Source organism: Homo sapiens, chromosome 14, assembly GCF_000001405.40.
Source record: "Homo sapiens chromosome 14, GRCh38.p14 Primary Assembly".
NCBI classification, from domain to species: Eukaryota; Metazoa; Chordata; class Mammalia; order Primates; family Hominidae; genus Homo; species Homo sapiens.
In genome coordinates, this window is record NC_000014.9 from 92,700,364 (window position 1) to 92,713,523 (window position 13,160).

At 48.7% G+C, this 13,160-nt stretch overlaps 1 protein-coding gene across 11 annotated transcripts in view, besides 4 other annotated features; it reads right to left on the reverse strand.

Moving 5' to 3' along the window:
- Positions 1-3,445: 3,445 nt before the first annotated feature.
- LGMN (legumain) overlaps positions 3,446-13,160 on the reverse strand; it is a 44,819-nt gene continuing 35,104 nt past the window's right edge. For 5 of the 11 annotated variants that reach the window (NM_005606.7, NM_001008530.3, XM_017021463.2 and 2 more), the window contains 7 exons: positions 12,442-12,508; positions 11,474-11,592; positions 11,296-11,385; positions 9,309-9,509; positions 6,120-6,290; positions 4,277-4,344; positions 3,446-3,998 (listed from right to left, as the gene is read on the reverse strand). In NM_005606.7, coding sequence (NP_005597.3) covers positions 3,956-3,998; positions 4,277-4,344; positions 6,120-6,290; positions 9,309-9,509; positions 11,296-11,385; positions 11,474-11,592; positions 12,442-12,508 — 759 coding nt within the window. In that variant the 3' untranslated portion in view covers positions 3,446-3,955. The remainder of the gene's footprint in view (positions 3,999-4,276; positions 4,345-6,119; positions 6,291-9,308; positions 9,510-11,295; positions 11,386-11,473; positions 11,593-12,441; positions 12,509-13,160) is intronic. The other 6 variants (NM_001437397.1, NM_001363696.2, NM_001437394.1 and 3 more) reach the window with 3 other exon arrangements.
- Positions 3,799-3,978: an enhancer, noted in NCBI's record as "active region_8943". NCBI's record gives its function as "activates an Ori minimal core promoter by ATAC-STARR-seq in GM12878 lymphoblastoid cells {active_cell/tissue: GM12878}" and the evidence as "EXISTENCE:reporter gene assay evidence [ECO:0000049][PMID:35858748]".
- Positions 4,139-4,318: an enhancer, noted in NCBI's record as "active region_8944". NCBI's record gives its function as "activates an Ori minimal core promoter by ATAC-STARR-seq in GM12878 lymphoblastoid cells {active_cell/tissue: GM12878}" and the evidence as "EXISTENCE:reporter gene assay evidence [ECO:0000049][PMID:35858748]".
- Positions 8,644-9,269: an enhancer, noted in NCBI's record as "H3K27ac-H3K4me1 hESC enhancer chr14:93175352-93175977 (GRCh37/hg19 assembly coordinates)". NCBI's record gives its function as "activates a minimal SCP1, AML or CMV promoter by ChIP-STARR-seq in primed H9 embryonic stem cells {active_cell/tissue: H9 hESC(primed)}" and the evidence as "EXISTENCE:reporter gene assay evidence [ECO:0000049][PMID:30033119]".
- Positions 9,270-9,894: an enhancer, noted in NCBI's record as "H3K27ac-H3K4me1 hESC enhancer chr14:93175978-93176602 (GRCh37/hg19 assembly coordinates)". NCBI's record gives its function as "activates a minimal SCP1, AML or CMV promoter by ChIP-STARR-seq in primed H9 embryonic stem cells {active_cell/tissue: H9 hESC(primed)}" and the evidence as "EXISTENCE:reporter gene assay evidence [ECO:0000049][PMID:30033119]".

The following is a 13,160-nucleotide window of genomic DNA, read 5'->3' on the forward strand; positions in this document are numbered from 1 at the left end:
AGGGAAAGTGTAGGGGGTGGTGAGGGATAAAAGCCTACACATTGATTGGGTAGAGTGTACACTGCTTGGGTGATGGGTGTACCAACATCTCAGAAAGCACCACTGAAGGTGGTAACCCAACACCACCTGTTCCCCAAAAACTTATTGAAATGAAAAAATAAAATGCTGTGCATAATAAATACATAGAATTTTTGTCAATTTTAAAATGAAACAAAATTATCTTATTTTTTTTTAAAAAGATTCTCCCTTTAAAAACTCTACTTTTCAGTATTTGCTCTCTGGTTTGCCCACTGTTGAGCATTGGCAACAGCAAATTCAGTGTGTTTCTTGTACTTGTTACCTAAAACCTCAGAGCTCCCCCAGATGTGTAGGACATTAAAAGTTCTTTATCCCAAAGTCATTTGATTAGCCATATGAGGCCCTCATTGAGAAAGGATAATCTGTACTGAAAAGAAATGGGCCCGTTAGAAACAAGAATTTCACCCTTGAATTTGTCACAGACATAACCCTCTCTGCCAGTATCTCACCTTCCAGGCCATAACTCCAAAGGTTAGAGGAGTCAATCGTTGCTAAACAAGATAGGTACACCTAAAGACAGGTGGTCAGGAGTGGCAGGGTGTGTGAGGGTTATTTTTTTCTTTGCTTTCTCCCTATCTACCTAAACAGCCATCTAGCTAACATGGCTTTTTTAAAAACAGCTTCATACCACATAATTCCTCCATTCAAAGTGTACAATCACTCCTGTAATCCCAGCGCTTTGGAAGGCCAAGGTGGGAGGCTCGCTTGAGGCCAGGAGCTCAAGGCTGCAGTGAGCCACGATCGTGCCACTACAGCCTGGGCCACAGAGCAAGACTCTGTTTCAAAAAAACAAAAGAAGTGTACAATTTGATAACTTTTAGTGTGATCAGAGTTACCTAACCATCACCACCATCAGGTTTTTTTGTTTTTTGGGTTTTCTTTTTTTTTTTTTGGAGATGCTCTGTTACCCAGCCTGGAGTGCAGTGGCATGATCTCAGTTCACTGCAAACTCCACCTCCCGGGTTCAAGCAATTTCCGGCTAATTTTTGTATTTTTAGTACAGACAGGATTTCACCATGTTGGCCAGGCTGGTCTTGAACTCCTGACCTCAAGTGATCCACCCGCCTCGGTCTCCCAAAGTGCTAGGATTACAGGCATGAGCCACCGCACCTGCCCCTCACCATCAGTTTTATAACATTTTCATCACTTCCCAAAGAAACTTCATACCCATTAGCAGCTACTCCTCATTCCCCTTATCCCTCATTCCTGGAACTAAGGATTCCAGGGATTTTCTATTTCTAAGGATTTGCCTATTCTGGACATTTCGTAAAAATGGAATCCTATGTGGTCTTTTGTGGCTGGCCTCTTTCAGTTGGCTTAATGTGTCATGCCCATGCACTTCAGTCCTCTTTATTGCTACACAATACTCCATTGCATGGATATCCACTAGTCCCCTATATCGATCCAGTTTTACTTTCTGAGGCTTCAGTTACCTGAAGTCAACTGCGGCCTGAAAATATTAAATGGAAAAATTCCAGAAATACACAATTCTTAAGTTTTCAGTTGCACGTGGCTCTGAGTAGCATGACGGAATCGCGCACCCATCCCACTCTGTGCTGCCTGGGACATGAATCCTCCCTTTGTCCGGGGGCTGCAGGCTGCCCACGCTACTCGCCCGTTAGTCACTTAGGCAGTCTCAGTGGTCAAGGTATCTCAGTGCTTGTGTTCAAGGCACCCTTGTTTTACTTAGTGATGGCCCCAAAGCTTAAGAGTAGTGATGATTAATATGCCATTGGGATATGCCAAAGAGAAGCCATGAAGTGCTTTCTTAAAGTGAAAAGGTGAACATTCTTGACTTAGAAAAAAAATCGTATGCTGAGGTTGCTAAGATCTATGCTAAGAACAAATCTCCCATCTGTGAAATCGTGAAGGAAAAAGAAATGTGTGCACGTTATGTATAGGGTTCCACGGTTTTGGGCATTCACTGGGGGTCTAAGGTATCCCCTGTGGGGTAAGGGGAGACTACTGTAGCCAGGGTTACTTTTACACGTTTTTGACAAATCCATCATGAACACCTCCCTGTGTGCGGCGCTGGACCAAGGGGAACACAGAGAAGTCAGGCAGCCCCTCTGGAGCGGCCCATGGTCTGCAGTGAGACGCCCTTTCCTGCCCCAGTGCCTGGTGTAGGGCAGACCTGACATGTGCTATTAGAGACGCGACAAAAGTGCAGCTGGACAGGAGACAGTACTTCTGCAGTGGATTCTTAGAACTTTGTTGCTTTGGCAGCCACTTTGAACATACAGTTAGCTGGACTTTCTCATGCCACAAGCAGGGCTCAGCCACCCTTGACAGTTTCCGGTTCTCCACCTCCTCCCAGTTCCTCCATGTGGTTGATCCAAGTATCTCTGCCACATACAACTTCCTCCTGGTGGCCACCTCTCTATGGGCCAGCCACATACAGCCTGCAGGACTGGCCCCTGACCCTCGCACCCTGCGTGGACTGTGGAGATATGCCACAGTGACCTCTTAGCTACAGTGCAACCTCCTGGAACTCATGCCAGCCAGCTCTAAACCACCAATTAGAGCTCCCCTCAGGAAACCTGTTTGAATAACACCCTGGACCCAAAAAGGTGGTGGTCCATGAGTCCCTCTTTCTCTCCATGCACTCCCTGACCTGTGTGTGTGTGTGTGTGTGTGTGTGTGTGTGTGTGTGTGTGTGGCCTCCAGATGTGCTGCGTACACCCCAGATCCTATAAGTAATAAAATCTTTATTTCTATTTTGTGTATCCCCTAATCATGGAAGGGGTGGTCTTCACTTTAAAGATTCTAAATGAAAACAACTTTTTTTTTGAGACGGAGTCTCACTCTGTCGCCCAGGCTGGAGTGCAGTGGTGTGATCTTGGCTCACTGCAACCTCTGCCTCCCGGGCTCAAGCGATTCTCCTGCCTCAGCCTCCCAAGTAGATGGGACTACAGGCATGCGCCACCACGCCCAGCTAATTTTTGTATGTTTAGTAGAGACGGGGTTTCACCATGTTGCCCAGGCTGGTCTCGAACTCCTGACCTCAGGTGATCTGCCCACCTCGGCCTCCCAAAGTGCTGGGATTACAGGCATGAGCCACCGCACCCAGCCAAAAACAACTTTTGATGAGTGGGGAGAAGGTGAGGAAGGCTGGAGGAAAGAAGCTACTTTAAACTGCACCTGGAGGGTGTGTGGAGGAGATGGGAAAGGCGTTCCAGGGCAGGAGGAACAGCAAGTAGCAAAGGCACAGGAGGCTGCAGAGCCCAAGGAGTGCAGAGGAGCAGAAAACAGCAGAGCAGCGGGAGGGGAGACTCGGGACGATAACGCTGGAAAAGACGATGACGGAGGAGGCCCCCGCTAGGAGGTGCAGGAGCATCAACCACAAAGTCAGTGTCGGACGTGAATATTTGGGTTCTGTTATAAATCTTTATTTTTTAAGACTTGAACACCTGCAGAATTAAATACAAAAGCAATCAAAAATCATCATATTTTCTAAAAACAGTTTTCCATTTGGGGCTTGCGGCCCTCTTCAATAAAATCATTCTGAAGATTTAAAGAGGTTTCAGCTTCAAATTCTCAGAATAAAGACTCCTTTTGAGAGGGGCTACAGAAGCCCCCATGAGCTTCCTGCTCCTCAAAACTAACAGGCAAAACAACAAACCTCCTAGAAAGCAAATATGACCCTTCTCAATACAGAGCTTTTCCCACCCTAATTTGTAGTTTTTCAGAAAAGACTGGGGAAGCAGGTAACAGCGAGCAAGTCATCTTGTGAAGAAGGTCCTGGAGCGAGCCCTGGAGCGGGGGCTCCCCAGGAGGGCCCGAGCAGCGGAGACTTCTCACTCCACCTCTCCAGTCTCTGATCAGCACACAGTCGGTGGGGCGCTCACACTTGGAAAAGCTTCCAGGAGGCAGCTCTTCAGTAGTGACCAAGGCACACGTGGTCCATGGACAATTTTATCCTGCGAGAGACAGGAAGGAGAACTTGGTGAACCGTGTCAACTCTGAAGAAAGGCAGACAAACGCAAACCCACATGCGGCAGGCAGGCAGTTATGACAGGCCCGCCCAGCAGCTGTCACTGAGAACGTGGCTTCTGGACCCTGCTGACAAATGGCTGTAGAGGAAAGCTGGAGGGAGCTCCTGGCAGAAGTGAAAATGCCCACTTGCAGAAGAGGATGGCAGCCCCTTCTGCTTTCAGAATGACATCGACCTTTCAAGCGTCACCGCTGCATTAGTTACCTGTGAAGCGGATACGGCTTCTCACAAAGGTTGACCAGCACGTACAAATGTCTCAACGCATACTCGTACTGGGAGAAAACAAACGAGAAGAATGAAACTTCCTCATCTCACCACACAATCCACTCCACTTTTGCAATTGCAGAGGGGAAGCATCTTGACCAGTGGCTCTTGCCCTATTTTGGTTCATGGATCCTTTCCCAACCTTTAGATAATCTGGTGATATTTATGGACGATCCCTCAGGAAAGAGGCACACATGCCAGGGTTTGCATGCAAGTTGGGGGGCTGGCGGGGTTCTGCACTCTCAAATCTGAGGGCAGGACTCCTGACAGGGAACTCCCGATGGCTCTGCTCCCCGCCATGGCCTGGGATCTCCCCGGGAAGTCTGCCTTTTGATTCTGGGAGGGACACGCCAGCGAGGGAGATGGACGGCGTGTGAAAGCCACGCTGGATCACACCAGGGAAGGGTGAAGCAGCGGGGATGTTTATCTTGAAACAAACTTCAGGGGAACCCAAGAACTCTCTGAGAACAAAGGAAGAGGTTCACTGTGCATGACTCCAAAGGTCAAAAGACCAAGACTGGGCCGGGTGCGGTGGCTCATGCTTGTAATCCCAGCACTGTGGGAGGCCGAGGCAGGTGGGTCACCTGAGGCCAGAAGTTCAGGACCAGCCTGGACAACATGGTGAAACCCTGTCTCTACTAAAAATACGAAAATTAGCCAGGTGTGGTGGCGCGTGCCTGTAATCCCAGCTACTCGGGAGGCTGAGGCAGGAGAATTGCTTGAACCCAGGAGGCAGAGGTTGCAGTGAGCTGAGATCACACCACTGCACTCTAGCCTGGGCAACAAGAGCAAAACTGTGTCTAAAACAAACAAACAAACAAAAAAAACAAGACTGGAGGGGTAAAGTCGAGCTACCTTAACTCTGCCCCAGTGTGAAAGAAGCCAGGGACAGGGACAACAGGGAACTGAGCAGGATGTGGCTATGTTCCAATAAAACTTTTTTTTGGAGACAGAGTTTCACTCTGTCGCCCAGGCTGGAGTATAGTGGCACAATCTCGGCTCATTGCAACCTCCACCTCCCTGGTTCAAGCGATTCTCCTGCCTCAGCCTCCCGAGTAGTTGGGATTACGGGCGTGCACCACCAAGTCTGGCTAATTTTGGTATATTTAGTAGAGATGAGGTCTTACCATGTTGGCCAGGCTGGTCTGGAACTCCTGACTTCAGGTGAGCCACCCACCTTGGCCTCCCAACGTGCTGGGATTGCAGACATGAGCCACCATGCCCGGCCCCAATAAAACTTTATTTACAAAAACAGGTTATGGGGGAGAAACAGACCTGTAGGCCAGTTTGCCAACCTTTCTCTAGAAGGATTGAAGCACCACATGCTACTGACCAGGAGGCTTTTCAGGTGCCTTCCAATTCTACATCTGCAGAAACTCAGTACTTCTCCATGGGCCACACCTGACTTCAACTGTCTTGGGAAGAGGTCAGAACAGACTCAGAAGGGAGAAGATGTGTGTGGCTCGTGTGAGGGGTAGAGACGAGGGTGGGGTTTGGCAGGGACAGCAGAAGTGTGAACACAAGTAACTGTTCTTCAAACTAGAAGTGAGAGCTGTCATCTATGGCTCTGGTAAACTCTCCTACCCACTGGGACAAGAAGAGTGTTCTGGGGCCAAGATTTAAAATTAGTGAATTTGGACAACCTTCTTCCTCTCTGAAATGAGCCCACTGTTTCTCAGCCTGGATGGAACCTTCTATAAGGTCGTACAACCAATGTGACTGCCAGGGGACAATATGAATTCAGCTTCTGGATTCTGGTCATGGGGAGAGCCTGCTGGCTCACCGTGGGGGAGTGCCAGTTGAAGCAGTGGGTCCGGAAGTGCAGCAGGGCCTCTGGGTAGCAGCTGTGCCCCGTGAGCGGGGCTCTCTCGGACAGGAGCTGCTCCACCTCAGCCTCGGACGCTGCCAGCAAGGAGACGATCTTACGCACTGACTTCTCAATGAGGTGCCTGGCCTGGGGAGAAACGCGGCCTGTCAGAATGTGCCTCCCTGAATGCGGTCTCTCAGGGACCCAGGTGCGGTGAGAAGTGCATTCAAAGGCTACTCTCCACACAGCCCTCAGCCTCCCGCAGGTTAGAGGAAATAACAATCAATGTGCTCCGAGAAAGGCGAGAGATGTCTGTGCCCACTTGTGCGACGGTCAGAAAGACCTGCCTTTTGGGGATCTTCTGGCATGATGCAAACATTTGTATCAAAAAACAACCTTTGCTGTGGAGAAAGGAGGTGGCAGAACCTGTGCCCCAAAGCAGACGACTGTGCCGTGAGGGTGCTGTGTCCACGGGCACCTCTGCCCATTCAGGAAACTATTGAATGGTTACACAGCAGGGCACAGAGGGACTTTTATTTTCTTTCCAGACAATGAAAAACAGCATCATAAAGAAGAAAATGCTTCTACACTACCCTCACTCTGGCCAGGCACAGTGGCTCAGGCCTGTACTCCCAGTACTTTTAGGAGGCCGAGGCAGGAGGATCACTTGAGGCCAGCAGTTCCAGACCGGCCTGGGCAACACAGGAAGACCCTGCCTCTATTAAAATAAAAATCAAAAAACTAAAAAAAAAAAAAACCTTCACTCTACAAGCAAGCTCTGTCCTACCCGCTCTCCAGCCAGGGTTTGCTTGCTTCATATCTGAATTCCACAAAGACCCTCCACCCACTGTGTGTTAGACCAGCAGTTCTCCAGGCGTGGTCCAGAACCACAGACTCCCCAAGAGCTCTCAGGCTCCAGAAGGTCTTCCCTTCCTCAACTCTGTATCTTTACAAGGCTGGATTTTCTTCTTACACTTCAGCCGAAAGAACAGCGCCCGACGGCGAAAGCAGAAGCCAGTTCAAGGATCCAGCTGTCGTCTAGCAATGCCGGACACAAAAGAGATACTCCCACATGTAAAGCAATGCCACTCTTCTCACCCAATGCTTTTTGTTTTGGAAAATGGTTATTTCTCATAGAAAATATATTAGTGTAAAATGTTATTTGTTAAGAATATTGTTATTTGTAAATGAGTTAAATATTTTTAAATCTTAGTTTTAATTTTTTCATAATCTTTTACTTTACATAAAAGTATAATTATGCAATAGTTAAACAGTCTTGGAAATAGTTTTCAAATTTGCAGCAGATACCAAAGAAGTCCTATATGATTTACACAGCTGTTTAAGCAAACACAAGAAAACTCTGAGCCAGGTGCGGTGCCTCACGCCTGTAATCCCAGAACTTTGGGAGGCTGATGCAGGTGGATCACTTGAGGCCAGGAGTTTGAGACCAGTCTGGCCAACGTGGTGAAACCCCGTCTCTACTAAAAATACAAAATTAGCCAGGCGTGGTGACGGGTGCCTGTAATCCCAGCTACTCGGGAGGCTGAGGCAGGAGAATCGCTTGAACCCGGGAGGCAGAGGTTGCAGTGAGCTGAGATCATGCCATTGTACTCCAGCCTGGGCAGCAAGAGCAGAACTCCATCTCAAAAAAAAAAAAAAAATCACCAAAAAACCTCTGGTTCACTTTCTGTGAACTATCAAAAATGTCCTTTCATCTCATCTTAATTTAATGCAATAAATATCAATAGACATAACCCACCATGAACAAAAGCTCTTTGGGATCAATAATTTAAAGAGTATAAAGAGGTTTGGCCGGGTGCAGTGGCCCACTCCTGTAATCCCAGCACTTTCAGGGCCCAGGTGGGAAGATCACTTGAGCTCAGGAGTTTGAGACCAGCCTGGGCAACATAGTGACACCCCAGCTCTACAAAAAAATTAATAAATAAAGAGGCCCAAGACTAAAATGTCTGAGCACTACTGTGCTATACTGCGTTTGACACCAACTAAAAATATGTCCTGGTTAATACGTTTTTCACACACAGGGCACCAATTTTGGAGATAACTAGATATGTGCATTTAAAACAAACCACATTGATTTAAAAAAAGAATCTTGCCTAGACGGGTGGATCACCTGAGGTCAGGAGTTCGAGACCAGCCTGACCAACATGGTGAAACCCCATCTCTACTAAAAATACAAAAATTAACTGGGGCATGGTGGCACATGCCTGTAATCCCAGCTACTTGGGAGGCTGAGGCAGGGGAATCTCTTAAACCCAGGAGGCGGAGGTTGCAGTGAGCCGAGATCACACCACTGCATTCCAGCCTGGCGACAGAGCAAGACTCTTGTCTCAAAAAAAAAAAAAAAAAAAAAAAAATCTTGCCTAGAAAACTCAGGCCATATTTCAGCACATCCATCACTGTGCTGTGCTGACAATGGGGATAAGGGCTAACAGAGTTGGCTTTGTGGGAAGGGACAGGCAGCCCTCTGCCCAGCATTCCGGTGAGCACACAGCTGTAATTTACATAGCAATTCTGCCAGCTCCAAACACACTGATGAGCTACTGAAAACAGACTCACTGATTGGAAAGGACGGCATAAGCATTTTAGAAAGAATTTTAGGCATGACTATGTTTTTCTGAGAACAGCAGAAATTTTTGTGGATTGGATTTTTTTTTTTTTTAAGAGAAGGGGTTTTGCTAGGTTGCCCAAGCTGACCTCAAAGTCCCAGACTCAAGGAATCCTCCTGCCTCAGCCCCCTAAGTAGCTGGGACTAGAGGCGCACGCCACCGTACCTGTCTCTGGATTTTTAAAATGAATATGATTAGCTAATAACTTAATAAGCAACAAAATAAAAATATCCTCTAAGCAACAAGGTATAAAAGAGGGAAACACCCATGTACATGGCTTCTTGGTACGATACAGGGGAGATAGGCCCCCATTCCACTGCTCCCTACTACCGAAGAGGTCAAGGTTAGTTTACTCATGAAGATGGGAGGCAACCACGGCTCCGCCCACCCGCTTCCGTTACATGGAGGACAAAGGCTGGCTTCTGTCCCCCCATACTCCTGTGTGGCAGGGAGCATAGGAGGCAGGGCCGTGCTCATGCATGCTGCCCACCTGGGCTGGGGACAGCACCTGGGCACAGCTCCTTTCACCACTACTCACATCCAGATGCCGCTGGATCTCCTCCGTGAGCTGCCTGGACTCCTCCAGATCATTGGTGTTCATCAGTTTCCTTTTCATGATGGTGAGAGGCACATCAGGGCTGGGGGTGAGGTCAAGGTGTGTGACTGGAGGTAGGGGGACGGGAGAACTGGCTTTGCGTTTCATACCCTGAAACTGCATCACTTTCATGGTGGAGATTGTCTGGGGAGACAGACAGCAAGAGAGAGCGAGAGAGAAAGCGAGAGAGAGTGAGAGAAGGCCAGAGAGAGAGGGAGAGAGAGAGCTGGTTTGAGTGGGAGGAGCAGAGGTGCCCAACATACCCCAAGTCCAGCCTCTCCCTCAGAGGCTCACATTTACTCCTCATGCTTTCAGGACCACAGGGCCACAGTCACAGTCTGAAAGGCATGGTCACCCCAGCAGTACGCAGGCAATGCACGGGAGCCCCTGAAATCTACCAGTGAGTGACTCAAAATGCCTGGCATCCTTTGCAGAACTGCTATTCTTTCACCAGACAGCTCTGGTCCAAGCTCTGCCTGACTGCATCAGCAGTGCCCTTCATATGTAAAAGAATAGCAGTTCTGCTGCAAAGGATGCCAGGCAAAGAATGTCACCTGCAAAGGATGCCGCCTATCCAGGCGGGTGACCTGTATGTGCTCACTCCCCCGCACTCACCTGCAAGTCCCTAAGGACCAGTAGTGGGAAGGTACAAAGCATCTGCCCAGGTTAGAGCTGAAGTCTGGGTCCACTGGGAAGGGCAGAGCTAAGGCCACAGAGAGGCCAGGCTGATGCTTGGCATCAAGAGCTACCAAATGGGCACAGCGGCCAGGCTCGATTTGGCTGTAGCGGTCACTACAGACTGGCTCCCAATCAGAAGGGAAAATGCTGCAAGCGTTCTCTTCCTAAAGCAAGCAACAATAATCTAACAACAGTTCTAAAATCAGCAATACCACACACACCAATCTATATAAAAACACAGAGTTTGGAGAAGATCCACCACAACTCCTCAACCAAGATCAGAAATGGCCAATGATGAGGACACTGTGAAGAGAACGGAAAGCCCAAGGCGGGGCCCCCACATGGCCAGGGCTATGCCACCACTGACCCTGCCTTCTCCGTGTCACCTTTCCCTGGCCGTCCCTCTGCTCCAACTCTCTCCTACACCTGCTCAAAAGCCTGACCAGGTCATTGTGCCCTGGGTGCAGGTCTCATGTCCCCCATCCCATGCCCTGCTGAAGGGCTAACCATGGCTGGATTTACTGACTCCAGTTTCTTCTAGAAGGCCAACGTTTGTGCCCAAGGAACAGATCTCAGCTGGCGAGCTCTCCGCTGGGGGTGGGCTTCTTGGGGGATGGTGAACAATTGGGAGGCCCTGCACATTTGTTACGGTGTTTGCACATCCCAAACGCTAGCCCCAGCAGCTTCACTTAGGGCCCAAGCTTTTAGCAGCCACTTACTGCAACACCATTTAACCACACAGGTCCCTTCTGGACATATTTGGAGGAGGATAAAATGTCTCCAATTTATAGCCAAAGGGTAAAGGTAACAACCTGCCATTTGCAAAGGGGCAGGACCCCAGAAAATCCAAGGTGCAGAGTGGCTGTGGGACAATCTACAAACCGTAAAGCAGCAGCTTTTGAGTCAGTGATCCCTTGCTGCACACTAGGCCTGTGTTTAGCATAAGTAACGCATAGCCCTCTTGCATGCTCCTAGCTACCTTGTACGCTTGGGTTTCAACCAATGAGAAAACAAATTCACAGAAGTGAAATCACTTGCCCAAAGTCTCACAACTCTGCAAGTTTGAACCTAGAAAGGTCTGATTCCAAAGCCCACAGGTCCCCAGGATGGAGTGGCATGAGAGGCAGAGGCATCCCTGCCTCAAGCATTCCTCACTCAGATCCCATGTCTCTTTAGCAAGAGATCAATATTCCAGGCAAGTCCACCTAGGACACAAGGAACAGAGGGCCAGCACGCGAGGCTCCCGACTCACTTTGTTTCCATACTGCATGACGTGGCTGGTGTTGGTGTGCGATTTTACCAGGTGGTACTGCTTGTGCAGGGTCTCTTTAGTCAGATCTTCCTGCAAAAAGTGAGACCATTAGAGACCTTTGACAATCAGAGTCTGACGGTTAAACCCCAGCTGAACAGCCAGCCCCCAAAGGGCTCACCACGTCCGAATCTTCCATCCAGTTGACGCTGTACCAGTCCCCCAGGTACGTGGACCTCTTCTCATCATAGTAACAGGCGTAGGACGACTCTCTGGGGTTGGCAGCAGTAGTTGCATAAACTACGAGGAATTAAAGATGATCTTTTAGTTGCATTTTATTCCTGCCTTGGATTACGCTTGAAGCTTGAGTCCTTCTTTCTCCCCCGGTGAAATCGAAGCATGCTACTTATGATCCACACAGGAGGGCAGGGACACGTAACTATACCCAGACTTGTGTATTCGATTACAATAACTCATCTAAAATTAAATGCGGAAGAAAGAGGAGCCAGCTGGTGGATGTTTTTTGCAGCAATTGGCAAATTGGCATGCTTAGGACATCATGCTATTCTGGAAGAATGCTGACATTTCCACAGCACAGGAAACTTGAACAATATGGGCTTACTTTGGTTTCCAGAGAGATCTGACATTTATTGAAGAAACATCTAGATTAACTGAACCTATACAAAAGCTACCACTTACTATCTCTCTACCATGGGCTTAGAATTGTGCTGGACAAATGCTAGTGTTTAAAATACAAGTCTCCCAACAGACACACACTATCTTTATCCCCATTTTACAGATGGGGATAACTGAGGGTCAAAGAGAGTCAGTCACCTGCTTTGAGGTCAGAGTGCAACCAACACATTGCAAAGGATGGAGGCTAGTCCAAAGCCCATGTAGTTTTAGCTTCAGTAGTTTTACGAGAACCTGGAAGAGCACTGTGAGGCTCACATACAGATTCTTTATTCCCTGACTACCAGTGCTTCAGAAGCAGAGGAAGCCCAGAGCTACCTGCAAGTATCTCCCCACTTCTATGGCCCAGGCTGCCCTCAGCAGCCCCTGCTTACGGAGAATGCTCAGTTCCATGTCAGCGGTGTCTGAGCAACCTGCTTGCCAGCCCAGGTCGAGGCCGGCGCCCCAACCACCTACCATTGATGTTATCCGGCAGGTGGTTCATCATGGACCCAGACTCACAGGCTTCAATGTAGAACACCATCTGTGAGGCAGACGGGGCAGGTGAGCTCACCCCATCCAGGTACGGGCCTCCAGCCATGCTACTGGAGCTCTGCCCACTCTCTCTACCCATTCCTAACAAGTCCTCCAGGCTTGCTTCTGGAGACATTACTGCTGTAAAGAGGCTGCTGCCAGAAGCTATGGAAGCTGCTGCCACACAAATTTATTCATTGCTAATGGAATAAAATCGTCTAGTAGCTGAAATAATGCAGAGAAAACGGAGCCATGGGATGCTAAGGAAAACGGTTCCACCATCCAGTGCAGGGAGGAGTTTCAAAGACCATACAGTGCAGCAGGCCATCTTTCTGCGTTACTGTCACGTATCACCCAACCCATGCAGGTTTTTTTTTGTTTTGTTTTTTTGTTTTTTTAGTAGAGACACGGTCTCACTATGTTGCCCAGGCTGGTCTTAAACTCCTGGCCTCAAGTGATCTTCCCGCCTCAGCCTCCTAAAGTGCTGGGACTACAGGAGTGAGCCACCACACCCAGCCAAAAACTCTGGCCCTGCACAGTTTCCATAAAGGGTGCTATAGGGGTGAGAAAGGCTCAAAGTGAGAATAAGATAGTGGTATTTTCCTCCCCAGCTGCCCGAAATTGAGGACAGTCCTAGGAATAGGAGTCTGCAAAGTGTGGGC